The 23297-nt window shown below is 38.0% G+C and overlaps 1 protein-coding gene across 16 annotated transcripts in view; it reads left to right on the top strand.

Annotated features, from left to right (window-relative positions):
* PLCB4 (phospholipase C beta 4) overlaps positions 1-23297 on the top strand; it is a 412131-nt gene that overhangs the window by 221861 nt on the left and 166973 nt on the right. For 14 of the 16 annotated variants that reach the window (XM_024451898.2, NM_001377134.2, XM_005260724.3 and 11 more), the window contains one exon: positions 17262-17360. In XM_024451898.2, coding sequence (XP_024307666.1) covers positions 17277-17360 — 84 coding nt within the window. In that variant the 5' untranslated portion in view covers positions 17262-17276. Of the gene's footprint in view, positions 1-10116; positions 10136-17261; positions 17361-17853; positions 17921-23297 lie in introns of those variants that run through there. The other 2 variants (XM_047440203.1, XM_047440204.1) reach the window with 2 other exon arrangements.

The following is a 23297-nucleotide window of genomic DNA, read 5'->3' on the forward strand; positions in this document are numbered from 1 at the left end:
CCATCTTATGAAAGGGACAATTATTTGAAGACTGTTGACCTTACAAGAATTGGACAAGGATTTGGCATCTTGAAAGTGTGCTTTGATACTGAAGAGTTGTTCTAGAAATGCCACTATGTCATTACTCTGTCAGTTACTCTTCAAGACACAATAGTAATGCATTGTTTTAAATCTTGCTTGGCCCATCTGAATGTGGCTTTCATTTTTTCATTTTTGGAAATGTATTTCAGGAAGGATATATATGGTTATTAAATAACATTTATATTTCATAGGAGCTCAAATAATGTTTAATCAAATGTTTATTAATGTAAACTAAGAAGGCATCACAGAGATAAAACTAATATAAGCTAAGAAAACATCAGATAAATTACAGTTTCAGGATCTGTATTTTACAGACAAGGATACTAAGACTCAGAGGGTTAAGGGGCTTCCTCAAGGTCACACACCTAGTTGGGACAGAGCTGGGGCTGGAATGTAGGTCTTCCATCTCCGATTGCCCTTCTCTTTCCATTCCAGCATGCTATATAGCTCATATTAATTTAATATTAATTGTGGAAATAGTGTAATATATAATCAAAGGCAGACTCATTTTTAAAAATGGTTAATTTACTTATAAAACTATAAACTTTGTATTTTTCTGATTCACTTTTCCAATGTCACATTAGATTTATTTCAAGTTGTGTGAATGTTATTGCTGGTATTTCTGATGTGAATGAAATAGACTCAATTCCACTCTCCCTGCTGGTCTATCAGAAAAAGCCAAAGACAGCATCTAATATTTACACCTAGTTTTAATGTGCAGCCTCACTTACATAAACCAATTTGCACAGTAAATTTCCCATTATTTTAAGTAATAGTTAATTAGTAATGCCAAACCTGAGGAGGAGGGGCCTGAAAAGGTGACACTTTTAATATAAGTTAACTGAGATTAAGGATTTTATTTCCTTTTCCTTTCAGACTGGATGTATTTTTGTGCATAAAAAAGACAAAGAGGAAGAAAGGTTTAGAGATTTTGAAAATAATGTGCATGTATAAAAAAATTAAATCAACCTCCCCAAACCTCGAATTCCATGTGATTTTTTTCTCACTATCTCTATTTTATTAGTTCCATCTCTGTACTTACTTTAAGCTTTTGGACTTCAGGTGGAACAATTTTGGGCGCATAAGGAGATAAATGACCTTGTGTGAGATTTGAGATTTATGTAGGTGACATTTTTTTGACTAAAGGTTACTTTCAGATCATGGGGCAGTACCCCTGTGTGGATGAACATATGAAGACTGTTGATTTCGGATATCCTTAAGCTTGAAAACTTGAGGAAGAATGTTTTATTTTCTCCTTCTATGGTCTGAGCTCAGTTCTAATATGCATGGTCTTAGGCTTTATCCTCTTCTTATGACTCCTGTATAATAATAGCAAAGATCTATTTATAAAAGTAGCTTGGAGAATTTTTAAATACAAGGAATTTTGATTAAATTGAAGAGCTCGTTGTGTGTGTATGTTTATTTTAATGAGAAAATAGTTTTAAAATAAAGAATGCCTCCAGTCCTTGAATTTATGCCTGCTCCTTTCCAAAGCACTTTGCCCATTTTTGTGAAGTCTCATTTTACAATCCTCAGGCTTACTCCATACTCACGCCGGAGGCAACCTTCAGAGAGCTTATTCAAGTGAAGATAAAATAAAAATCTTTCCTTTGAAATAGTCCAATAATAAGGCAAAATCAGGCTTCTAAAAAGAGATTTCCCTCTTGACATATATGATTCATGTTGGCGATGTTTTGCCTGATAATTGTGGCAGGCAGTCCAAGGGCAAATGAAGGGCAAAGTACAGAGGGCTGGGCATAAGAGACAGGAGGACCTTATGGGCTGCCCAGAGGTCTCCTCTAAAGAGACAGTCTCTAGGGATAAGAACATCACGCACCTCATGAGGACATGTCCAGGATCAAGCCCCACCAGTGAGGACCTAGGTGCCAATCTGAACAGCCCTTACTAAGGGACAGTGATCAGAGAGGGTCTAAGGAGAACAGAGGTTCAGGCCATAGAGGTGGTGTGGTTGGAATGTTTATTCTAGAAATTATTCATAGGCACAATCGAGGCTGTCAAACTTGGTAAAGAATGGAAACTCATTCTACAGGCCTGGTTTTAGCCTGCAGCAGGCAGGCAGCAGGGTATGAGTGGAGAACAAAACACTGTGAACAGCATTTCAGGATACTGGAGAGAGGAGCAGGTATACACAGAAATGGTACTAAAGTGTGCATTTGGGCTGGGCACAGTGGCTCACACCTGTAATCTCAGCACTTTGGAAGGCAAAGGCAGGTGGATCACCTGAGGTCAGGAGTTTGAGACTAGCCTGGCCAACATGGCGAAACCCTGTCTCTACTAAAAACTCAAAAATTATCCGAGTGTGGTGGTACACACGTGTAATCCCAGCAGCTCAGGAGGCTGAGGCAGGAGAATCGCTTGAACCCAGGAAGCAGAGGTTGCAGTGAGGCCAGATCGTGCCACTGCACTCCACCCTGGGTGACAGAGTGAGATTCAAGAAAGAAAGAAAGAAAGAAAAAGAGAGAGAGACACCCAGAGAGAGACAGAGACAGAGACACAGACAGAAGTAAGGAAAGAATGGAATGGAATGGAATGGAAAGGAAAGGAAAGGGGAAAGGGAAAGAAGAATGAAGGAAGGAAGGATGGAAGGAAGGAAGGAAGGGAAGAAAGAAAGGGAAGGAAAGGGAAGGAAAGGGAAGGGAAGGAAGGGAAAGAAAGAAGTCACTGCGCTCCAGCCTGGGTGACAGAGACAGACTGTCAGAAAGAGAGGAAGAGAGGAATGAAGGAAGGAAGGAAGGAAAGGGAAGGAAAGGGAAGGAAAGGAAAGGGAAGGGAAGGGAAGGGAAGAAGTCACTGCACTCCAGCCTGGGTGACAGAGAGAGACTCTGTCAGAAAGAGAGAAAGAGGACGAGAGGAAGGAAGGAAGGAAGGAAGGAAAGAAAGAAGGAAGGATTAAGTGTGTGTTTGTGTAAGAGAAGAGTCCATTGTCCTTTCTGCCTTGATTTGTTTTGGGGGTTGGTTGGGAGCTCCTCCACAGAGTAAAATATTCATTCATTCATTCATTCATTCATTCATTGTTTACTGCTATATGCTGGACACTATAGTAGCAAGCAAGGCCCCAGCCTTCACAGAGGTCATCATGTAGTGATGATACAGATAAACAAATAGCTGTTTACCAGGTAGGGTGGTGAGTTCTTCAAAGGGGGAAGCACAAGGTGCTTAAATGAAAATACAGAGTGGTGCCTGGCCCAGTTTCTTTAAATAATAACCAGTAAGTTTAGGGGAGTAAATAACCAGTAAGTAAATAACCAGTAAGTTAGTGAATGAGAAGAAAAGAGAAATGTGCAAAATGCTCAGTACCGGGGGGCAAGGAATCAATTCTGATAAATACAGAGAGGAGAATGTAAAAGGAAAGGTGGTGAGGGAAGATGCTGCTTTCCAGTGCAGCTGAGGGCACGTTTCTTCTAGAATCCTTGTGTTTTAACATAATCTTTCTCCTCAGCTCATTTGTCAATTGCAGTTCCTTAAATTTAAAGGAATTTGCTGGTTGACTCTTACCCAATATTTTTTCCTGAGTTCTTAGGAGAAATATTAGCATTCATAGCTTGTAGTTAACAGGGAGCATAAAGGTTTGGGCCAAAAGAGGTAACTGCTTGAAGTTATTTAAGTGACTGTGAAGTCTGCACTGCAGATTAAAGGGATGTTGTGTTGGCTGAGGGTTTGGTTATGACTCAGTCACCCTTTATTTACTTTCTTCAAGTTGCCTGTCATTCTTAACTGGTTTCTTCTTACTTAACTCTTAAGGATGAAGCTTGAAAAAAAATGGTTGAGAAAATTACCATTTACTTCAGGCTCTCAGTATCTACTCTTGGTCTTGGATGGAAAGCAAGTACTGGCCTTCAGAGTCTCCATAGGCTTGGTTGTCCATGGACTTCCTGAGAAAAGCGTGCATTCTAGACAAATGGACTGTCTTTCTTACCCAAGCTTTAGTTCCGAATACCTAGCCAGCTTCTTTTCCTGGTAAATTGGGCTGGGCTGGATAAGGATTTAAAGACCATTTTCCTCTTCCCCCTTTTTTCCTTTTTGCTGGAGACTTGATCTAAGGCTGTTTTCTCAAACCTTAGCTTACATTGCAATCACCTGGCTAGCTGGATACACCGTGGATTCCTGGACCCCACCAGCAGACTTTCTGATTTAGGTCTGGATGGGGGTTGAGATTTTGCATTTCTAAGAAGTCCCAGGTGATGTCTGCTGTCGGGGTACCATACTTTAAGAACCAATAATCTAAGGCAAATCCAGGGACCTAAAGATTCTCTAGTCTTTCCCCTATGCTCCCAGCTTGAGTTCCCATCTTGGCTAAAAAGAAATAACTCAAAGAGTATTCCTGCAAAGAAGAAACTTAAGCTGAGGAAGAGGTCAACCTAAGCCTCCATTCTCATAGTCCCCACTCTGGAACCCCAGGACTTTTTAAAGACTAGGGTCCTCTGTGACCAGGAAGCCCTGGGTTAAGAACCCCTTGAAAGATCCAGGAGAGACCAGTATGGAATCTGTGACCTCTACCTAAAACTATACTTAATTTGTGCATGTTTCCCTTTTGTTTTCTATGTTCCAAGACCTTCTCAGAACTACTACTGTTAGATCAAAAAGGGCTGAACTCTCCCTGAAAATTGTTGCATATGGCTAGCACCTCCTACTAAGGGAGAAGTTGTTGCTTTCCTGCGCGGTAAAGTATAGACATCCACCATGTATTCTGTTAGTTCTGTACTTGAAAACAGTGACAAGTTCTACTTTTGAGAGAGGGAAAAAACTGCTACTATACAGTCTTTCATTTACAAATATCCCAGGGTGCTCTAATCCTCTTATTTCTCAGAACTTTTATATTCTTTAGGGCTGATGATAACTCTGTTTATGTTAAATTCTCAGTAGTAATAAAATACCCTCTGCTCTTTGCTGCCCTTAGTAAGAACAGAAATACTTTATTTCAGAGGCATAAAAGATAAGAAACAAGATGACTTTTGTATAAGGTGTAAGGAAGGGATCCAGTTTCAGCTTTCTACATATGGCTAGCCAGTTTTCCCAGCACCATTTATTAAATAGGGAATCCTTTCCCCATTTCTTGTTTTTGTCAGGTTTGTCAAGGATCAGATGGTTGTAGATATGCGGCATTATTTCTGAGGGCTCTGTTCTGTTCTGTTGGTCTACATCTCTGTTTTGGTACCAGTACCATGCTGTTTTGGTTACTGTAGCCTTGTAGTACAGTTTGAACTCAGGTAGCGTGATGCCTCCAGCTTTGTTCTTTTGGCTTAGACCTAAAACCATAAAAACTGTAGAAGAAAACCTAGGCAGTACCATTCAGGACATAGGCATGGGCAAGGACTTCATGTCTAAAACACCAAAAGCAATGGCAACAAAAGCCAAAATTGACAAATGGGATCTAATTAAACTAAAGAGCTTCTGCACAGCAAAAGAAACTAGCATCAAAGTGAACAGGCAACCTACAGAATGGGAGAAAATTTTTGCAATCTGCTCATCTGACAAAGAGCTAATATCCAGAATCTACAACGAACTCAAACAAATCTATAAGAAAAAAACAAACAGCCCCATCAAAAAGTGGGCGAAGGATGTGAACAGACACTTCTCAAAAGACGACATTTATGCAGCCAAAAAACACATGAAAAAATGCTCATCATCCCTGGCCATCAGAGAAATGCAAATCAAAACCACAATTGAGATACCATCTCACACCAGTTAGAATGGCGACCATTAAAAAGTCAGGAAACAACAGGTGCTGGAGAGGATGTGGAGAAATAGGAACACTTTTACACTGTTGTGGGACTGTAAACTAGTTCAACCATTGTGGAAGTCAGTGTGGCGATTCCTCAGGGATCTAGAACTAGAAATACCATTTGACACAGCAATCCCATTACTGGGTATATACCCAAAGGATTATAAATCATGCTGCTATAAAGACACATGCACACGTATGTTTATTGTGGCACTATTCACAATAGCAAAGACTTGGAACCAACCCAAATGTCCAACAATGATAGACTGGATTAAGAAAATGTGGCACATATACACCATGGAATACTATGCAGCCATAAAAAAGGATGAGTTCATGTCCTTTGTAGGGACATGGATGAAGCTGGAAACCATCATTTTCAACAAACTATTGCAAGGACAAAAAACCAAACACCGCATGTTCTCACTTATAGGTGGGAATTGAACAATGAGAACACATGGACACAGGAAGGGGAACATCACACACAGGGGCCTGTTGTGGGGTTGGGGGAGGGGGAAGGGATAGCATTAGGAGATATACCTAATGTTAAATGACAAGTTGATGGGTGCAGCACACCAACATGGCACATGTATACATATGTAACTAACCTGCACGTTGTGCACATGTACCCTAAAACTTAAAGTATAATAATAACAAAAAAGAAACAAGATGACTTTTACTCTGGAGCATATTTATAATATGTCAAAAACAAATTCTACTAAAATAGATTTATTATTCATGAAAGAGAAAAACCCAGTTAGATTATATATTCCTTTCCTCAGGCTTCTATAGCCCGCACCCCCCCCCACACCATATATATATTTTTTTGCTAAAGGTTGATATATCTTGCATGCTATCAAAAAAATTTCTTTCTAGCGGTCACTTCTGTAATTCACTACTATAAAAATGATTAATATGTGTGTACACGTGTTCTCACTCATAAGTGGGAGCCAAGCTATGAAGATGCAAAGGGATAGGAATAATATGGTGGACTCTGGGGACTCAGGGGAAAGGGTCAGAGTGGGGTGAGGGATAAAAGATTACACATTGGGTACAATGTATACTGCTTGGGTGATGGGTGCACAAAATCTCAGTAATCACCACTAAATAACTTATTCAGGTAACCAAACACCACCTGTTCTCCAGAAACCTATTGAAATTTAAAAAAGATTAATATACAAACTATCTTCTGTTTCTGAAAGATCAAAATACTGTTAAGCCAGGGGTGGATTTACTAAGCACTTAAGAACATGACCCCTCAGAGGACATCACGTGTAGATAGGCCCCACTTCTGCCACTGAGCCCTCCTGTACCATTATTGCTCCCTAGCTTGAACCATTCTAAAGTTGAATGACAAGGGATTATCAGGCTGGAAAACCTCAGTCATGGACAACTATGTACTTTTAATACGATTTCAGCTCCTTGATGTGTTCTAGAGGATTTTGGAGGGCTGGCATAGGAACTCAGATGTCATTTCCAAGGGAATTGCTACAGGCAAACAACCAACATCCAAACAATCTTTTGAAACAGCTCAGTTATTCTCTTAGGAAGTTGTTATACTTCGTTGTATTCTAATTTCTTTGAAACTGATTATTGCAGATTGAATTAAATTGCCAGGGCTCAGAACACAATACCTGAAAACATGGCACCTTGACATACTGAGTATTTTGAGATAAAGGAAATTGAGAAAACTGCAGAAGCTGGAAGGTCAATCTCTGACCTTCTTTCCTGAGACACCTTCATGTGACAGGTGTCCCACTTTATGCCTGGAGGGAAGGAATGATAACACAAAGATACCAAGAAGAATGTGAAGAGACCTTTCTCAGTTCCCCCCAGTTCAAGACCATTATATCGTACCCACTTTTGTCTAATCATGCTTCTATATGACTATCCATTCTTTATCAAAACTAAACATAGAAATATACGATTATCTCAATTTCTGTCTTTGTTTCTGAAGGCTCCTGTGTCACATAAAACTTACATTAAATAAATTTGTATGTCTCTCTTGTTAACCTGTCTTTTGTTATAGAGGGTCTCAGACATGAACTTTGTGATGGATGAGGAAAGATATTACTTTTTCTTCCCTAGAATATATTGACAGTTATTCATTATATTTAAATTAAGCTGGATCTCTAAATACTCCAGGCAACTAAGCATATTTTAGACATGTTTTGTAAAATCCTGATAGATTGAAACCTATAACACGATCACAAATGTCATCTAATACATTTATAAACCTGGATCTTCACCCCAGGTAACTAAACATATTTTAGACATGTTTTTTAAAATCTTGATGTAATGGAACCAATAGCATGATCACAAATATCACCTAATAAATTTATAAAGGCAGTACACTTTAATATTTTTATTCATCTATTTGTAATTATTAAATTTTAAGGAAGTTACACTTGCCCCTCAATTATGATTAATATTGAGGTACGAGAGGCAGGGACAAATAGCGAATGCTTGCTTTCTGTTTTTATTTTATTCCTGTGCAATTTGTGTTCTTTTAATACACTCCAGGAAATTGTTTTTAATCATGTGATGCTTTATAATAGATAAATCATAGCAAAGGCCATAGATTTCTTGTAGCCCAGAATTCATTAAAGTCTAATTCCAGTACCATCACAATCAGTTTTTTCCCAAATATAAGTATTGCAGAGGTTTCAGTTAACGTTCATTTTAGTCAGTATATTAAGTAACTCCTTACTAAGTAATGAATAAGGATCAGTCATAACTGGGATGTGTGAAGGCTCCCATTGTACAGGGAAGGTTTTAAATTCTGAAAGGGGAGAACAACGTTTTACAGCTTTATGTATTTATCTCTTCCTGTTATTTGTTCTTGCCAGGATTTCTGCTAGAAAACATAGACATTATTTTAAGACTAATTTATATGAAAAGAAACAAGTTTTAAAATTGTATCCTCCATTTGCTTTAGAAAATATTTTTTCTGGAATATAAAAATTACAGTCACTATGAATATTTTAAAATACAGGGAAGTATTAAAGAAAAGAAAATTCTAAAATTACATCAGCTAGCTGTAACTACTATTTGTTTTGGTATATGTCTTGCTAGTTTTTCCCGTTGTAAAACAGTGTACATATGTAAGCAATATGTGTATAATATATAACATAAAAATTTGGATCAGACTCGTGTAATTTTATAGCCTGTGGTTATTTTTTTTCTTAACTGTATGTTAAGAGCATTTGTCTTTGCTTCACAAGAGTTGTGAATATTTTTAGAAACTCTTCTAAATTTGCTATTGTTAAGCAAATAACTATTCCTTTAAAGTACTATTTTTAATGGGTACAGTATTTAAGTACTAGAGTGTGTTTAATCAATTGCTTAGTGATGATTATATAAGGCCAATATTTTTCTACCATAAACAGCACAACAGTATTCTTGTGCATAGATTTTGTACACATTTACATAGGATAAATCCTACTTGTACAATTACTAGATAAAAGAGTATGGATATTTCAAGGCTATAGAAATGTATTACAAAATTCTTTTTTACCAGATATGCCCTCACCCCATCCATCAACAGCATTGCATATTATCATATTTTTCTTCCTGTACTCTTTGTATGTTTTTTGAAAAGGTTATTTAATGGCTTAATAAAAATGGAGGTATTTTTGCAAATGGGGAAGTTATCCCTAATGATACAATATATTAATGTCAAATTAGATTCTTACTGGAGGTAAAGCCATTTATTTAAAAGCCCTGGATGATCTGATGACAGCTTGTTGATATGTTTTTAGAAATATAAGGATATCTTATTTAAAGATTGAAGAGCAAGGCACTGAAATATGTGTGATAGATTCAACTGATTTACTTGTGGTCAGTGGAAATTTTATCCCAACTCTCTATGTTCTGGAAAACAACTTTGGTTGTGCCATCATGAGGTCACTTAAGGTCATGGGTTATTTGGTTTAATGGGATTTGTATGGTTGGATGGGGAAGGGATTAATTTGTTATGGAAATTTTTTTGTCATAAGGTTGAAGTTAAAAGTTGCACTTAATAAAATTTATAACTGAGTCATGGTGCATTTATTCACTTGAAAGCTATATGTTATCAAGTAGAAGCAAATGCTTTTTCAGATGAATTCATTTTTTCACAAATAGGAATAAAAAATGAAGAACACCTTGTTTGGCTTCGGGGGAGCTGCAGGATTTGAAGTTTGTATTTATTGCTGAGATGCAAAATTGTTACAAGACATTTGGAACCTGGGGAAGAGTATGCAGAAATAATGTCATTAGTCCTCAAAGGGGCTTTGGAACAGAAGGACAGGAATGATCTGAATTCATTTCTAGGTGAAGTTTATTCTGTACTTTTCTCTCTGTCTTCCTCTGATGATTCAGTTGAACACACATGTTGAATGACCATTCCCTTCAAATCAGAGCAGTCTGTACTGCATTCCAAACTTATTTGGCAACTTTTTAGTTCTTTTAAGAAAGGTGTTCAGCTTCAGGGGGCCCAATATATGCATTTTCTGGGCTACTATAAAAAATTAGCACAAACTAGTGGCTGAAAGTAACCAAAATTTATTCTGTCACAGTTCTCGAGGCCAGACGTCTGACATCAAGGTATTTTCAGGGCCACATTTCCTCCAGGCTGTGGGGAAGAACCCATTCCTGGCCTATTTCACCTTCTGGTGGCTGCCAACTCTTCTTGAACTGTGGCTACATCACTCTAATCTCTGCCTCCGTAGTCGCATTTCCTCCTCCTCTTCTGCTTGTGTCAAAACTTCCCCTGCTCCCCTTTTGTAAGGACATTTAGGGCCCACCTGGATGATCCAGAATAATCTCCCCATCTCAAGATCTTTCGCTTAATCTCATCTGCTAAGTCCCTTTTTGCCCTGTAAGGTAACATTCGCGAGTTGCAGCAGTTAGGAGGTGGGTATCTTTTGGGGGCCATTTATTCAGCCTGCCATACCCAGGTACCTTAGATATGCCTGGTTTCACATACTGCCCTCTGTTCACTCTCTACCAGAACGTGAGGCACATGTCCAGAGACAAAAAATTCCTTGTGAAAGTATTGACCTAAACTGGTCTAGGTTGGGGGTGGTGGTGAGGGAGGGTGAGCAGCACTGACTCTAAAGTTGATCCAGCACATCTGAGATAGGTGGTCTGGTAATTCCTGAAGACCACCTTATAGGTCTAGCAAGGAAGACAAGACAGCAGGTTTAAAGACTCAGGACAGAGTAGGCCAAGAAAACCAAATCTCTTCCTTGGTTCACCCCAACCGAATGGATAGAAGGCCATATTTATGGGTAATGCACATGTCCTACTTGAATATTTGGCCCCTCGACAGCCCACCTCAGCCCCCTTGTGTTCCTCCTAACTCTGCCAGTTTCTTATTATCATCTTTAGGAGGAGCTTTTGCCACTTGCTCTGGAACAAGACCTTCTAGGACTCCCCTTCTTTCTTGTCCCCCGCTTCCAAAGTTTCTTGCAGTCCAGGGAGTTTTTCCTCTGCCCTAGTGCAATAGCTAATCCGATCCAGTTGCACAAGGATTTAGAACAATGCGACTATTTAAAAGCCTTCTGGCCTCCTTCCAGTAACTGCTCAATGTGTTTACACTGCAAGAGGTTTCAGGCTGTCTATTCTTTGACAATGTAAAGTCTCTTCCACTTCCCGTGTTCCTCAAAGAGAAGGTGGATCCTTTCCTGTGGGCTCTGCATGGTGAGATGATGCCATTCTAGGAGGTGGAGGAGACAATTAAACCTTGAAATATCTTGTAAGTGAGGCCTTGGAAGGCAAGCTAGAGAATTTGAGAAGAGGAACTTTTGGCATGGTACAATCAAAGCCTTTTTTTTTTTCAAGCCAGTTAGTTGGCTGTGGGTTGGGATTTGAGATAATTGCAATAAGAATGTAGTTATAGGGTGGCCAGTTCCTCCCCTCTTTTAAAAAGAAGTAACTGTCCCTTTAACATTCTCTGCAGTCACTGGGACTATAATGTGTACCTTCGTTTGTTCCCATTTTAAATCAATTATCTGGATCAAACTGTAGTGAAACAGGATTGGCTGGGTCAACATTTTCTAGTCTGTAGGTCATCATTGTACCATGTGTGTAAAATAACCCAGCTAGTGCCCCTGATGCCAGGCCCTAGGAAGTTTTCCACAGATAGCACAAAGAACAGCCTCGACCACAGCCACCAGTTTCAAATTGGGAACACTCAGGATACTCCAACATCATTTTGCCAGAATACTTCTTACCTTGTTCTGAACCCCAATGCTATGAAGGAATAAGCAATGAAATGAACTTTCACCTCCACTGCAGAAGAGATTAAGGTCAAAATTACCCTCCTCCTTCACCTCCAAAGTTCTTCATATAGTGAGACTATTGTGATGAAATTAGTACCCAAGGTAGAGATGAATATTTTAGTAGTTAAGAATAGTAGTGAGGTCTGAGAAACATCATATACTGGGTACTCATGTTGATTCTAGGAGAACCAGAGTTAAACCAATGGAAGATATGCAAACTGTAAAAAGCTTTTTTTTTTTATTTTTATTTTTGATATAAACTTTTTGTATCCAAAGCCTCTTACTGATTTAAAATGAAACCAAAGGGATGAATTAAAAGGGATGGTTGTCAGGAGTGAGACAATCATAGAACACATAAAATTCTGCAGAAAAGAGATGTTTTGCCCACCATTCTTCACAGCCTGGCAAACTGGGATGGCCACCATGTTGTTTTTTAATCTATTTTTCAAGCTAACACTTAGCTCCCTGTAGTTGGTTATTAAGGGGGGTCTGTGGGTCTATTTTTCTCTGCAGATCTGTTTTATAGCATAGAAGGCATGAATGCACATCATCTACCTCAGAAGCTTGTTTCTAAGCTTCTTGGGTAGAAGCTATGTGGTTATGTGTGTACATACATGCTATATTCACCAAGCTATGCAAAAGGTTTCAAAGTCAAACTTATTTCTTCTGTGTAACTGATAGAAGGCTTTGTATACTTCGATTATCAACTCCACATTCCCCCTACCCTCAGCCTTTGGTAACCACTGTTCTGCTCTCTGCTTTTATGAGTTCAACTGTTATAGATTCCACATGTAAGTGAGCACATGGATATTTGTCTTTCTGTATTTGGCTTATTTCACTTAGCATAATGTTCTCCAGTTCCATCCATGTTGTCACAAATGACAGAATTTCTTCCCTTTTTTAAGGCTGAATAATATTTCACTGTGTATAATACACCACATTTTCTCTATGCATTCATTTGTTGTGGGATACTTGGGTTGATTCCATAACTTGGATATTGTGAATAGTGCTGCATTGAACATGGGAGTGCAGATATCTCTTTGACCTACTGATTTCAGATCTTTCCAGTAAATACCCAGAAGTGGGATTGCTGGATCATTTAGTTCCTCAAAAAACTAAAATTCCATTTTTAGTTTTTTGAGGCACCTCCATACTGTTTTTGACAATGGCTGTAGTAATTTAAGCCAAATGTATTTTAACTTTGAAAGATATATACTTTTTATTTAGCTTTTAAAATATTCTGATTAAAGTTATATACAATATTCTCTTAGAATATTCACATTCTCATTCTTTAATTATATCCCACTTTTCATTGTAAATGTTGTGAGTTTGTGCTGCAGCCACCTCCTCCTCCTCATCCTCCCTTCTGCCCCCACCTAAATCTCCCTCTCTCTGTGTCTCTCACTCTTGCTCTAAGTACTTGCCAAATATATATCCAATTCAGAAAACAATTAACTTTTGCTTTTACTGATCATTGTTTTACTATTTTTTTTTTTTTGGCTACATATTACATATCTAGGTTTTGGTTTGTAATGCTCTCATCTTTTCTTTCTAAAAAGTTTATAATTTCTGCTTAACTCAAGAATGATTAAGGGGTGTATGTATGTGTGTGTGGGGGGGTGTGAATGTTTAATTTCCATGTATATAGATGTTGTACACTCTCTGTCATTAATTTATATGTTTCCTTGTTGTTGTCAATGAGCATGACCACAATATTTTCTGCCTTTTGAAAAATGCTGAAATTTCCTCTAGGGCCTAATCGTGATCGGATTTTGAGATTGTCACATGTGTGTGGGTAGCCAGGGTGCAAAGAGGGAAAGAAAAAAAAATGTATTTAGAGAGAGAATAAATATATTAAGAGAGAGAATAAATATCATTAAGTACTGTTATTTAAATTGTGTTACTTTGAGTTATTTAAGTTGTTGTACTAAATTATTAAGTATGATATTCAGATCTTCGAGATTCTTACTTGTCTTCTTATTCTGTTATTCTGAGAATCATTGTCTCCTGTTTGTGACTTTGCTAATTTCTCCGTGTACTTTGTCAATTTTCAAATGTTGTGATGCTGCGTGCTCACATGCTTAGATATTAATGGCAGTTAATGTGATGTATTATTACTCTGCCTCTGCTTTTTCTCTTGAAGTCTGTTTGTCTCATGTTGTTGTTACACCTGTTTTCTTTTTTTCTTAGCACGTGCCTATGGTATCTTTTTTCATTCCTGCGTTTTCTTTTTTATTTTCTTTTTTTTTTAATTTTAGTTCTATCTTTTTTTTAATTATACTTTAAGTTTTAGGGTACATGTGCACAACGAGCAGGTTAGTTACATATGTATACATGTGCCATGTTGGTGTGCTGCACCCAGTAACTCGTCATTTAACATTAGGTATCTCTCCAAATGCTATCCCGCCCCCCTCCCCCCAACATCCCTGCATTTTCAAACTTCTTAGATAGTTTTCAAAATATTTCTGTAAACAACCATAATTTTACCTAATCCGAAAACATCTTTTATAAGTGAATTTAACCAATTCGTATTTACTATGCTTAGTGATGTGTCATTTTATTTTGTGTTTCCTACTTATAATATGTTCCTGTCTTCTCTCCATTCTTTATCTGGTTACTTTTTAAAAGAGGCTCGAGTTTCTTTTGCTATTTCTCCCCTGCTAATCATTTGGGAGTTATGTTTTTTTAATTTTAATTTTCTATAGGAGAACTCTTAAATTCATAGCACCCATATTTAAACTTCTATTTTCCTACTGATGTCTAGAGTTTTTAGTATCTCTGTTCCCTTCCCAAAATGGTTTTACTTCCCTTTGTCTCATACTTTGTTCCTCCAACCACTTCACTGGCCACAACTCATATATTGATATAATCTAGGATTTGGGTTGGCTAATTTTTAAATATATTTTTTCTTTTCTACTTTTTTGGCATAGTACAATAAAACTTAAGATTAAGCCTATTGTTTCTTTTTACTTTATTTTTCTTAACATTATTTCCCATCTCTCTCTTATTTCTCTATTTATTTTCCCCTGACAGAGTATATAATACATTAAATTTTTCAGAGTAGATTACTAAATCTTTCTGATTACTTACAAGTCTGTAAATAACTACATTTTTCTCCTAAAAGTTGAAACAGTATTGAACACAGAATTTTAAATCCAAATTTATTTTCCACAGAACTTCAAAATTGTCTTACTGCATTTAGTGTTGTGGATGATGTACCTGATATCAGTCTCATCGTCATTTACCTCTAGCTTATCTTTTCTCTTCCTGCATCTTTGAGAGATTTCATCATTTCTGCATATTTTGTGTCTTCAGTGTCACCATGAGGTATATTTGGGGGTGTATATCTTTTTCCCCCATTTATACTACGTGGAATCAGTGGATTTTTTCACTTTGAGGACTCAAATATTCAGGTTTCAGAAACGTTCTTCTACTGTTACTTTATTTCCATCCCTCCATTGTCTCCATATAAGGTTGGTAAACCTTTCCTTTCTATTTTCTATATCTCTAACTTTTTCACCCAGGCTGGAGTGCAGTGATGCAATCTTTGTTCACTGCAATCCCCGTCTCCTGGGTTCAAGCAATTCTCCCTGCCTTAGCCTCCCGAGTAGCTGGGATTACAGGTGCCTGCCATCACATCCAGCTAATTTTTGTATTTTTTAGTAGAGATGGGGTTTCGCCATGTTGGCCAGGCTGGTCTTGAACTCCTGACCTCAGGTGATCCACCCCCTCCCCCCACCCCGGCCTCTCAAAATGCTGGGATTACAGGCGTGAGCCACTGAGCCCGGCGTGGTGTTGCATTTTTAAGAATCCCTTGGCTCAACACTTCATCTGAGTTTTCTTTACAATTCAGCTCATCTATTAAGTTTTATTTCAACAATCTTGTTTTAAATTTCTAGTATCTGTGGTTAATTATATTTTAGGAACAGAATATACTCTCTCTTCCCTCTGAAAAAATCAGTATGCTGAAGTCAGGTCCTGTTTTTCCTGCTCACCCTCTTTCCTTGGGTGTAAGTTTTACTTGATGTGTTTGGTGTTCTTCCATGTTCTTTGCATTGCTTAACTATTTGGTGACTCATTGTTGTATGCTCCCCTGTCATGCAAGATGTTTGGGTTGTAGTTATTGCATACATACCATGGTGCATGTTGCCAACAAGGATGGGTAAAAGGAACGCTGAGTTCTTCCTAGTTGCAGGGAGCCACTCTGAACAGTGCCTAGCCTCTCTTTAAATGTCCTACTCACTGTCTATAATAAAACTGTTGCAGGACTTTTCCTTAGTTCAGCTAAAAACAGGGTTCTTTGTCCCACAGCCATGAAAATTCAAGCTCACAGGCAATTTAAATGGCGAGTAAGACAGGGTTTCATTGGGTAAAAAGGAAGAAAATGGGGCAACAGGGACTCTTGCAAGCCCAGAATCCCTGCTAGAGGGCTTCATTCTAGGCCACTGGAATCCCAAGTTCCACACAGAAGGAGGAGGGGCCAGACTCCTCTCTGCTACAAACATTGTGAACACCCCGAGGCCCCACCTCAGTGGGCAGGCTGGTTGGAGTTTCTCCAGGGACCCCCTATGAGCTGGCTGTCTCAAAATCAGAAGTTCTCTTGTTCCCCACGTGGCCCAAGGGGTGAGGAACAAAGGGGTAGGGGAAAGGGAGCCTAAGAGAGGGCTAAAGAGAGGACCAAGAGCTATAAAAAATTCTGGCTATTCCTACGTGATTCTGCAACTTATACCCTGTGGGCTCCTCCTGCCCATATGTTCACCTTCAAGCCCATAGTGCCCTTAGCTATTTACAGCAGGCCTCTCTTATGTATTGATTTTGGTCTACGGTTTCCTTATTTTATCTGGTGCCTTCAGATTTTAAAAAAAGAATACACACACACACACACACACACACACACACACACACACACACACACACACACATCTTGTTATTTTGTAGGATTTGGAGAGGGAATGGAAACTTCCCAAATGATCACCTCTGGTATTTCTTGATTATGATATCTCCAGGTTTAGAGAAAAGAAAGCAAGTTGGGGGTCAGACAAAGGGAAGAAGAAAAAAACGTATTCCACATATTTAAAGTAAATCTTCTGCAAACACAGAAATGCGAAGTGATTAACCATCCTCAATTGTTTTTTCATTTTATATACTAACGAGCTATTCTTTTTCATTTTTAGGTCTTGAATATAATCATGGCCAAACCTTATGAATTTAACTGGCAGAAGGAAGTTCCCTCCTTTTTGCAAGAAGGAGCAGTTTTTGACAGATACGAGGAGGTAAAGAAGTGTTATTAATCTTTTCTCTCAAAACATTCTAATAATTATTAAATTTTAATTACAGTATTGAGTAAATATTCTTTGACATAAGTAAGAACATCTTTAGGATTTATAGGTTGGAGTTGTTGAAAAGAGGCAAGTTATGAGCTAGAGTAATAATGATAATGATACTATAAATTTTTGAGCGCTCACTATGTGCCAGATGACCTTCTAAACATTTTATGTGTATTATTTGTTTAATTTTTTACAACAACCTTACAAGGTTGTTGCTATTAATATTCTCAGTTTACAGATGGGTTTTATATAGTAACAGTTTTTGCTTAATGCAGTGCTTTTGGCAGTCATTCTACATTTAACTTTGTATGTGTTATAAATGTAATAGTGATTGAACTTTGTGCCAGTCATTGCTTTGCTCATTTCATTGATATAAACCATTTTGACCAAAGCTTTGCATGCCTCTGATTCTATCATTTATTGTCTGTGCCCTTGCAAGGTGGTGATGACTCCAGACTTTCTATAGAGCAGGGGCTTTGGGCCACCAATCTGTTCAGAATGGCTGGGTAGGTGAATTAAAGCCTCATTTGCATTGTAAATGCATGATTTTTCTTCTGTTGTACTTGAATTTGAGGTGACTTGGGAAGGAGTGTATAATGAAATTGATGTTTCCTTTACCAAGAAGTTGAAAGTAAAACATATTAAAACTTCATTTAGAGTCAGAGTTGGTTCCTTTCAAAATCAATGAAATGTATGAAGTGGCTAATTCGCTGATCTTCCCAGAGATCCAGATTGTCAGATGCAGAAACTAGGTCTTCTGTGAGCTGACATAGCTTAATACTTGTTGACTTGATATTTCTGCAGGGTGCATCTCTAGATTTACAGGATAGTCACTTTTTAAGTAAACAAAATTGCAAATGCTAAGGATGGACCTAAACATGGTTACTATTCCTTGTTTGAATTAAAATATTGAAGTAATAGCTGTTCATATGTCTGAAATTAAAATAACAGTGAACTGCATTCTGCTATAAGATGAAACAGAATAATATTCTGCCATCCAGAGACAAGCACTGTTAATTCTTATGCAGTTTTCTTCTAGTCTTTTTTCATATTTGTTTTTCTTTTTTTTCTCTCTCCCATGGTTGAGATCATAGAGTAATATTTTTAAAATATAAAGCAGATCCCATTTCTCCTGTGTTTAAAATGCTTCCATCACTTCCCATTGTAGCGTAAAGGGAAGTTCACAGAATGAAATACAAGGCCTTCTATAATTTGGCTCCTGCTTAATTACCTCACCTTCATTTCTCTCCAGTTTCCAACATACAGCGTATGTTCAACTATAGCAAACCACTTACAGTTTCCCCCATAAACTATTCTACTACATGGTTTGTTTATGCTACTCCCTCTTCCTGAAATGTATTTATTCCAACTGGTTTGATTGGTGAACTCCTCTCATCTCAGAACCCAGATGAGAAATGTCCACTTCTGTGATATCTTCCTTGACCCATTGAATGAATAAGAGGCGATAACTTATTTTTTGCCACCACTAACCTATCCTTGCATATTTTACACTGCCTTCACATTTTATTTAATGTTTCTTTCTCTCCAACTATGTTCTGAGTTTCTTGAAGTCAGGGATCATATTTTACTTATCTTTTTCTCTCCAGGGACTAGCAGAATACCTGTAACCACCAAATTCTTTGTGGATGTCTAGCATCTAAAATGATTTTAGATCCAGTTGATTCCAATTCAGACTAATAATTCAGAGAAGGTAATTTTGAAGAGATTACATGCAATCATTGGTTCAGTATATCTCCTACTGTTATGTAAGAAAAAGCTATTGGAGAAAAAAGTACTTGACAACAGTGAAATGTGATTTGATGAACCAGAGATTCATTTGAATCCTTCTTATTGCTTGTGTTTTTTTTGATTATTAATCATCACAGCTCATATTAGGAAATACTGATCACCTGTGCTTCTAAAGGCATTTGCTTTTCCTCTGGATTCCTCTACAAACTAGGCAAAGTTAGAAGAAAAGAACCCTTGAACAAGTATTAAATAAAATGTAACTAAGCTTTCAACTCTTTCAAGTGCTATTTTACTAGGATTTTGAGCAAAAACATTTTAACTTTATAAAGCAAACATGCGTCTTCATGATAACATACCAAACCACAAAGCTGAAGAATATTTCAAGCTGGATGACAGCCAGTTTAAAAAATAATTATTTCCCACTCCTATAAGACTCAGTTCTTTAGAGCCAGAGCCATGAAAACATTTAAGGCAACAACATGTAAGCAGAAAAGGTTCGTTTCTATGGTTGGTACATGAACAGCCATGAGGGATTACAGCTGAAAGCCAGTGCGAGGAATAAGATTAGAGAAACAAAACCCAAGCATCCCTAAAGTGTCATAGCAAAGGTACCTTTTGTGAAGGGGCATAAATGCTGTCAGCACCATATGATAACTAACGTTATCATCATGAACTCAAATAGCAGGTAAACATAAAATTGTATTCCATGTATTTGTTTAAAGAAAGCAGCTGGGCACAGTGTCTTATGCCTGTAATCCCAGCACTTTGGGAGGCCAGGGTGGGCAGATCAGTAGGTCAGGAGATTGAGACCATTCTGGCTAACACAGTGAAACCCCATTTCTACTAAAAATATAAAAAAAAATAGCCAGGTGTGGTGGCACATGCCTATAGTCCCAGCTACTTGGGAGGCTGAGGCAGGAGAATCGCTTGAACCCAAGAGGCAGAGGGTGCAGTGAGCCAAGATCACGCCCCCACACACCAACCTGGGTGACAAAGTGATGCTGTGTCTCAAAAAATAAAAAAAAATAAATAAAAAAAGGGAGCAGGGAGTAAGCAGTCAGTAGGTGGGGGAAAAATGTTTAATAGGCACTGTTTTAAAAATAGTCAATAAATGTAGTAAGTGCAAATGCATTTAAAGTTTATTTTATTATTTCTGCATTACTGAAGAATTATTTTTGAGGCAGCCAGATTTTTACAAATGACCTAAGTGGTAGGCTGTGATTGTATTGCCATGACACTTCTAATTCTGTACTTTTCTAACTTTACTTGACTTACACGTTACTTAAATGCAAAATATATTTTGTTTCCTAAGTGATGCTTAACATTAAATCTTTAAAAGACAGATTCGTCTCTTGTGGAGGAGAGAAATAGCAGTGTTTTTAAAAATACATGCAACCCAGATATCTCTAACTCAACCAGCCCCCTGACTTTCCTATAATATCCACATCAAAGATCTGAAGAACCCATTCCCTGGCAGGTCAGGGCCTTCCCAGTCTTTCCTAGAATTCCTAGGTGCTTACCCACTTTTGATGATGACTTATGTCCTCAAATGCTTGGCTACCATTCAGTTTCCAGGACTGTTGACTACTCCAATTTGTTTCCTTCCCTAAACCCACTTTAACATCAAATTCCAGAAATACAAGGATGTTGTATAAAGTAGACTTTTTACTGAAGATTTAGTGGCAGCAGAGGAGAATTGCATCATACACCACACCAAGACAACTTTAAGATTAAAAATCGGAGATCATGCTGAATAAGTTTCATTAGCCAGCCCAACCAGGAGTGTCTCTCTTTTTTCTTCTTTGTCCCTCTCCTCCATCAAGATTCCTGTTCCTGTTTCCTTTATTTTATTTTAATCACACTCAGAGTCCTTTTTCACTTTTCCAGATACTTTTTTCTTAACTGTCAAACATTTTCTGTCTCTCAATCTAAAGAAGAAAACTTCAAAATTCAAGTCCCTCCTCATCCTGGAGCTGTTTGGCTCCCCTTTCACCTCAAACTCTCCTACTCAGACTCTCCTGAGATCCTCCCTTTTGCATAAGCCTGAAAGTCAAAGTATGTCCTTAAAACACACAAAATCTAAAAAGAGCTTTATTCTTAAGAAGGAGACTGCCATCATAGATAAGTGTTCACCAACAGAACTTTCCACAATGATAGAAATGGTCTACATTTGTGTTGCCGTTATGGCAGCCACATGTGGCTGTTCAGCATTTGAAATGTGGCTACTGGGACTGAGGGACTTAAGTTTTTAATCTTACATAATTTAAATTCAAATTCATATAGGTACATGGGCCTAGTGGCTTTCTTATTGGATGGCATAGATAATCAACTCAAACTACAACCAGATTTTAAAATTCCATTCTCCCTTCTTGACACTAAGAAGCATTCTCAGTGCATTCCGTTGGAATCTCCAGAATTCATCAGCCAGTTCTTCTTAGGGGCAGCCAGAGCAGGGGTTCAAATGTTTTATGGATGACTCACCTCAGCCACTGACCTCGTCTTTCCCACATCATAAATCCCAGCTCGGGCTACCCCTTCTTCTTGCCCATGGGACTTTCTTGTATCTGAGTCCAGCTGCCTAGATGGAGTCCCTTTTCCTAGCAAAGTCTTGGTCTTCTTGGTCTTTATACTAGCCTCCCCACCTTCCACCCTACACACACACACACACACACACACACACACACACACACACACACGCACGCACTCACACACACGTGGTGGAGGAAAACTGAGACAATTATTGCAGGTGTCAGGATCAAAGGAGTATCAAAGTGCAGGGTCAATACAAACCTAAAGTCAGGCACAGTGGGACAGGCTGACTTTGGCCTCTTTCCAAGGTGGTTCTGAAATCAAATTGTGAGCAGCCACACCATGAAGCTCAGAAAAGCTCAAGCAGCCTACACCCCACAGGCTGTTCATCAGCAAAGCAAAGCGCTTTCCAAATACAATTTTCAAAAGACTTAAAAACACAAGCCTCATATAAAGTATTTTGATTAAAAGATATATTTAACTAATCAGGGAGGACATTAGCAGGATGATAAAGCTAGTTCCAAGAGCACTTGAGGAAGAGAATTTTACGTAGGAAAGGAAAGGAAAAGTGAAGTAAGTTTTGTCAATTAGATACAAAACTGGCTAATGTCCTATAAGGCAATAAAACTCTAACCTATTATAGATTTGCCTTTTTCTACTGGACACAAGTCATCTACATCATTATAGAATAACAGCAGAAAAATGCTATCTATTAAACTTCGAAGAATCTATGTCCCAAACAACAGTAAATAGTAGGTCAAACCAAAAATACATTTTTCTATAGAAGTAAATCATTCTTAGGTATGCCTCTTCAATCATGCTTTGATGTAACAATGAAAAGAGGGATGGCCATCTTTGCATATTATTTTTAAGCTTGAGATAATTTAAATTCAATTATAAAACAATGTCCAGATATACCTGTATTTACACTAAAAGATACTTACAGTCATCAAAATGATAATAATCATAATAAATTAGTTTTTCAACTGTTATAATCAACCTATTAGTTTTTCAACTTTTATAATCAACCTAAGGGTAGAGAAAACATTTAATTATTTTTGACCAAGCATAACAAAAAAGCTGTTACCTTTATCTATTTAAAGTAAGGGTGCCAGACAGATGCTGGAAATTAGAAGGGACTTGGAGAAACAGAGGAAAGTCCAGAGGCTTTATACTCTCAGCAAGAGGGAAGGTTGGTAGTTGATGTACAATAGAGGCTTGCAGATATGATTTAAAGTATAAAAGTAGCCAATCACAAACCAAAAATAAAATAATTTCAAATTTGGAGTTGGGGGAGAAAAAGTAGTGAAAATGCGTTAAGTGGAGTTAAATTGCTGTGTTTTTATTCCAAGAAACCGATTTCTGCATATTCCTGGTGGATAATTAGTTTAGTTACTGGCTGTCTTGCCATGAGTCCTGTTTTCTTAAGCTCCTGTCTCTATTAGAGTTGGACATATGGAACAGAAACCTGTTGGTGCCACTTTATTATGCACTGCAGTAAGTACTGGCTTCATAGTTTGGACGGCAGCTGTACTCACCGCTATACCACCACCACCACTGGCTGGGCTTCTCAGTTTTAAACTCTAGGCTTTCAGCATGTGGCCC

The sequence above is a fragment of the Homo sapiens genome, chromosome 20 (genome assembly GCF_000001405.40).
Source record: "Homo sapiens chromosome 20, GRCh38.p14 Primary Assembly".
Taxonomy (NCBI): domain Eukaryota; kingdom Metazoa; phylum Chordata; class Mammalia; order Primates; family Hominidae; genus Homo; species Homo sapiens.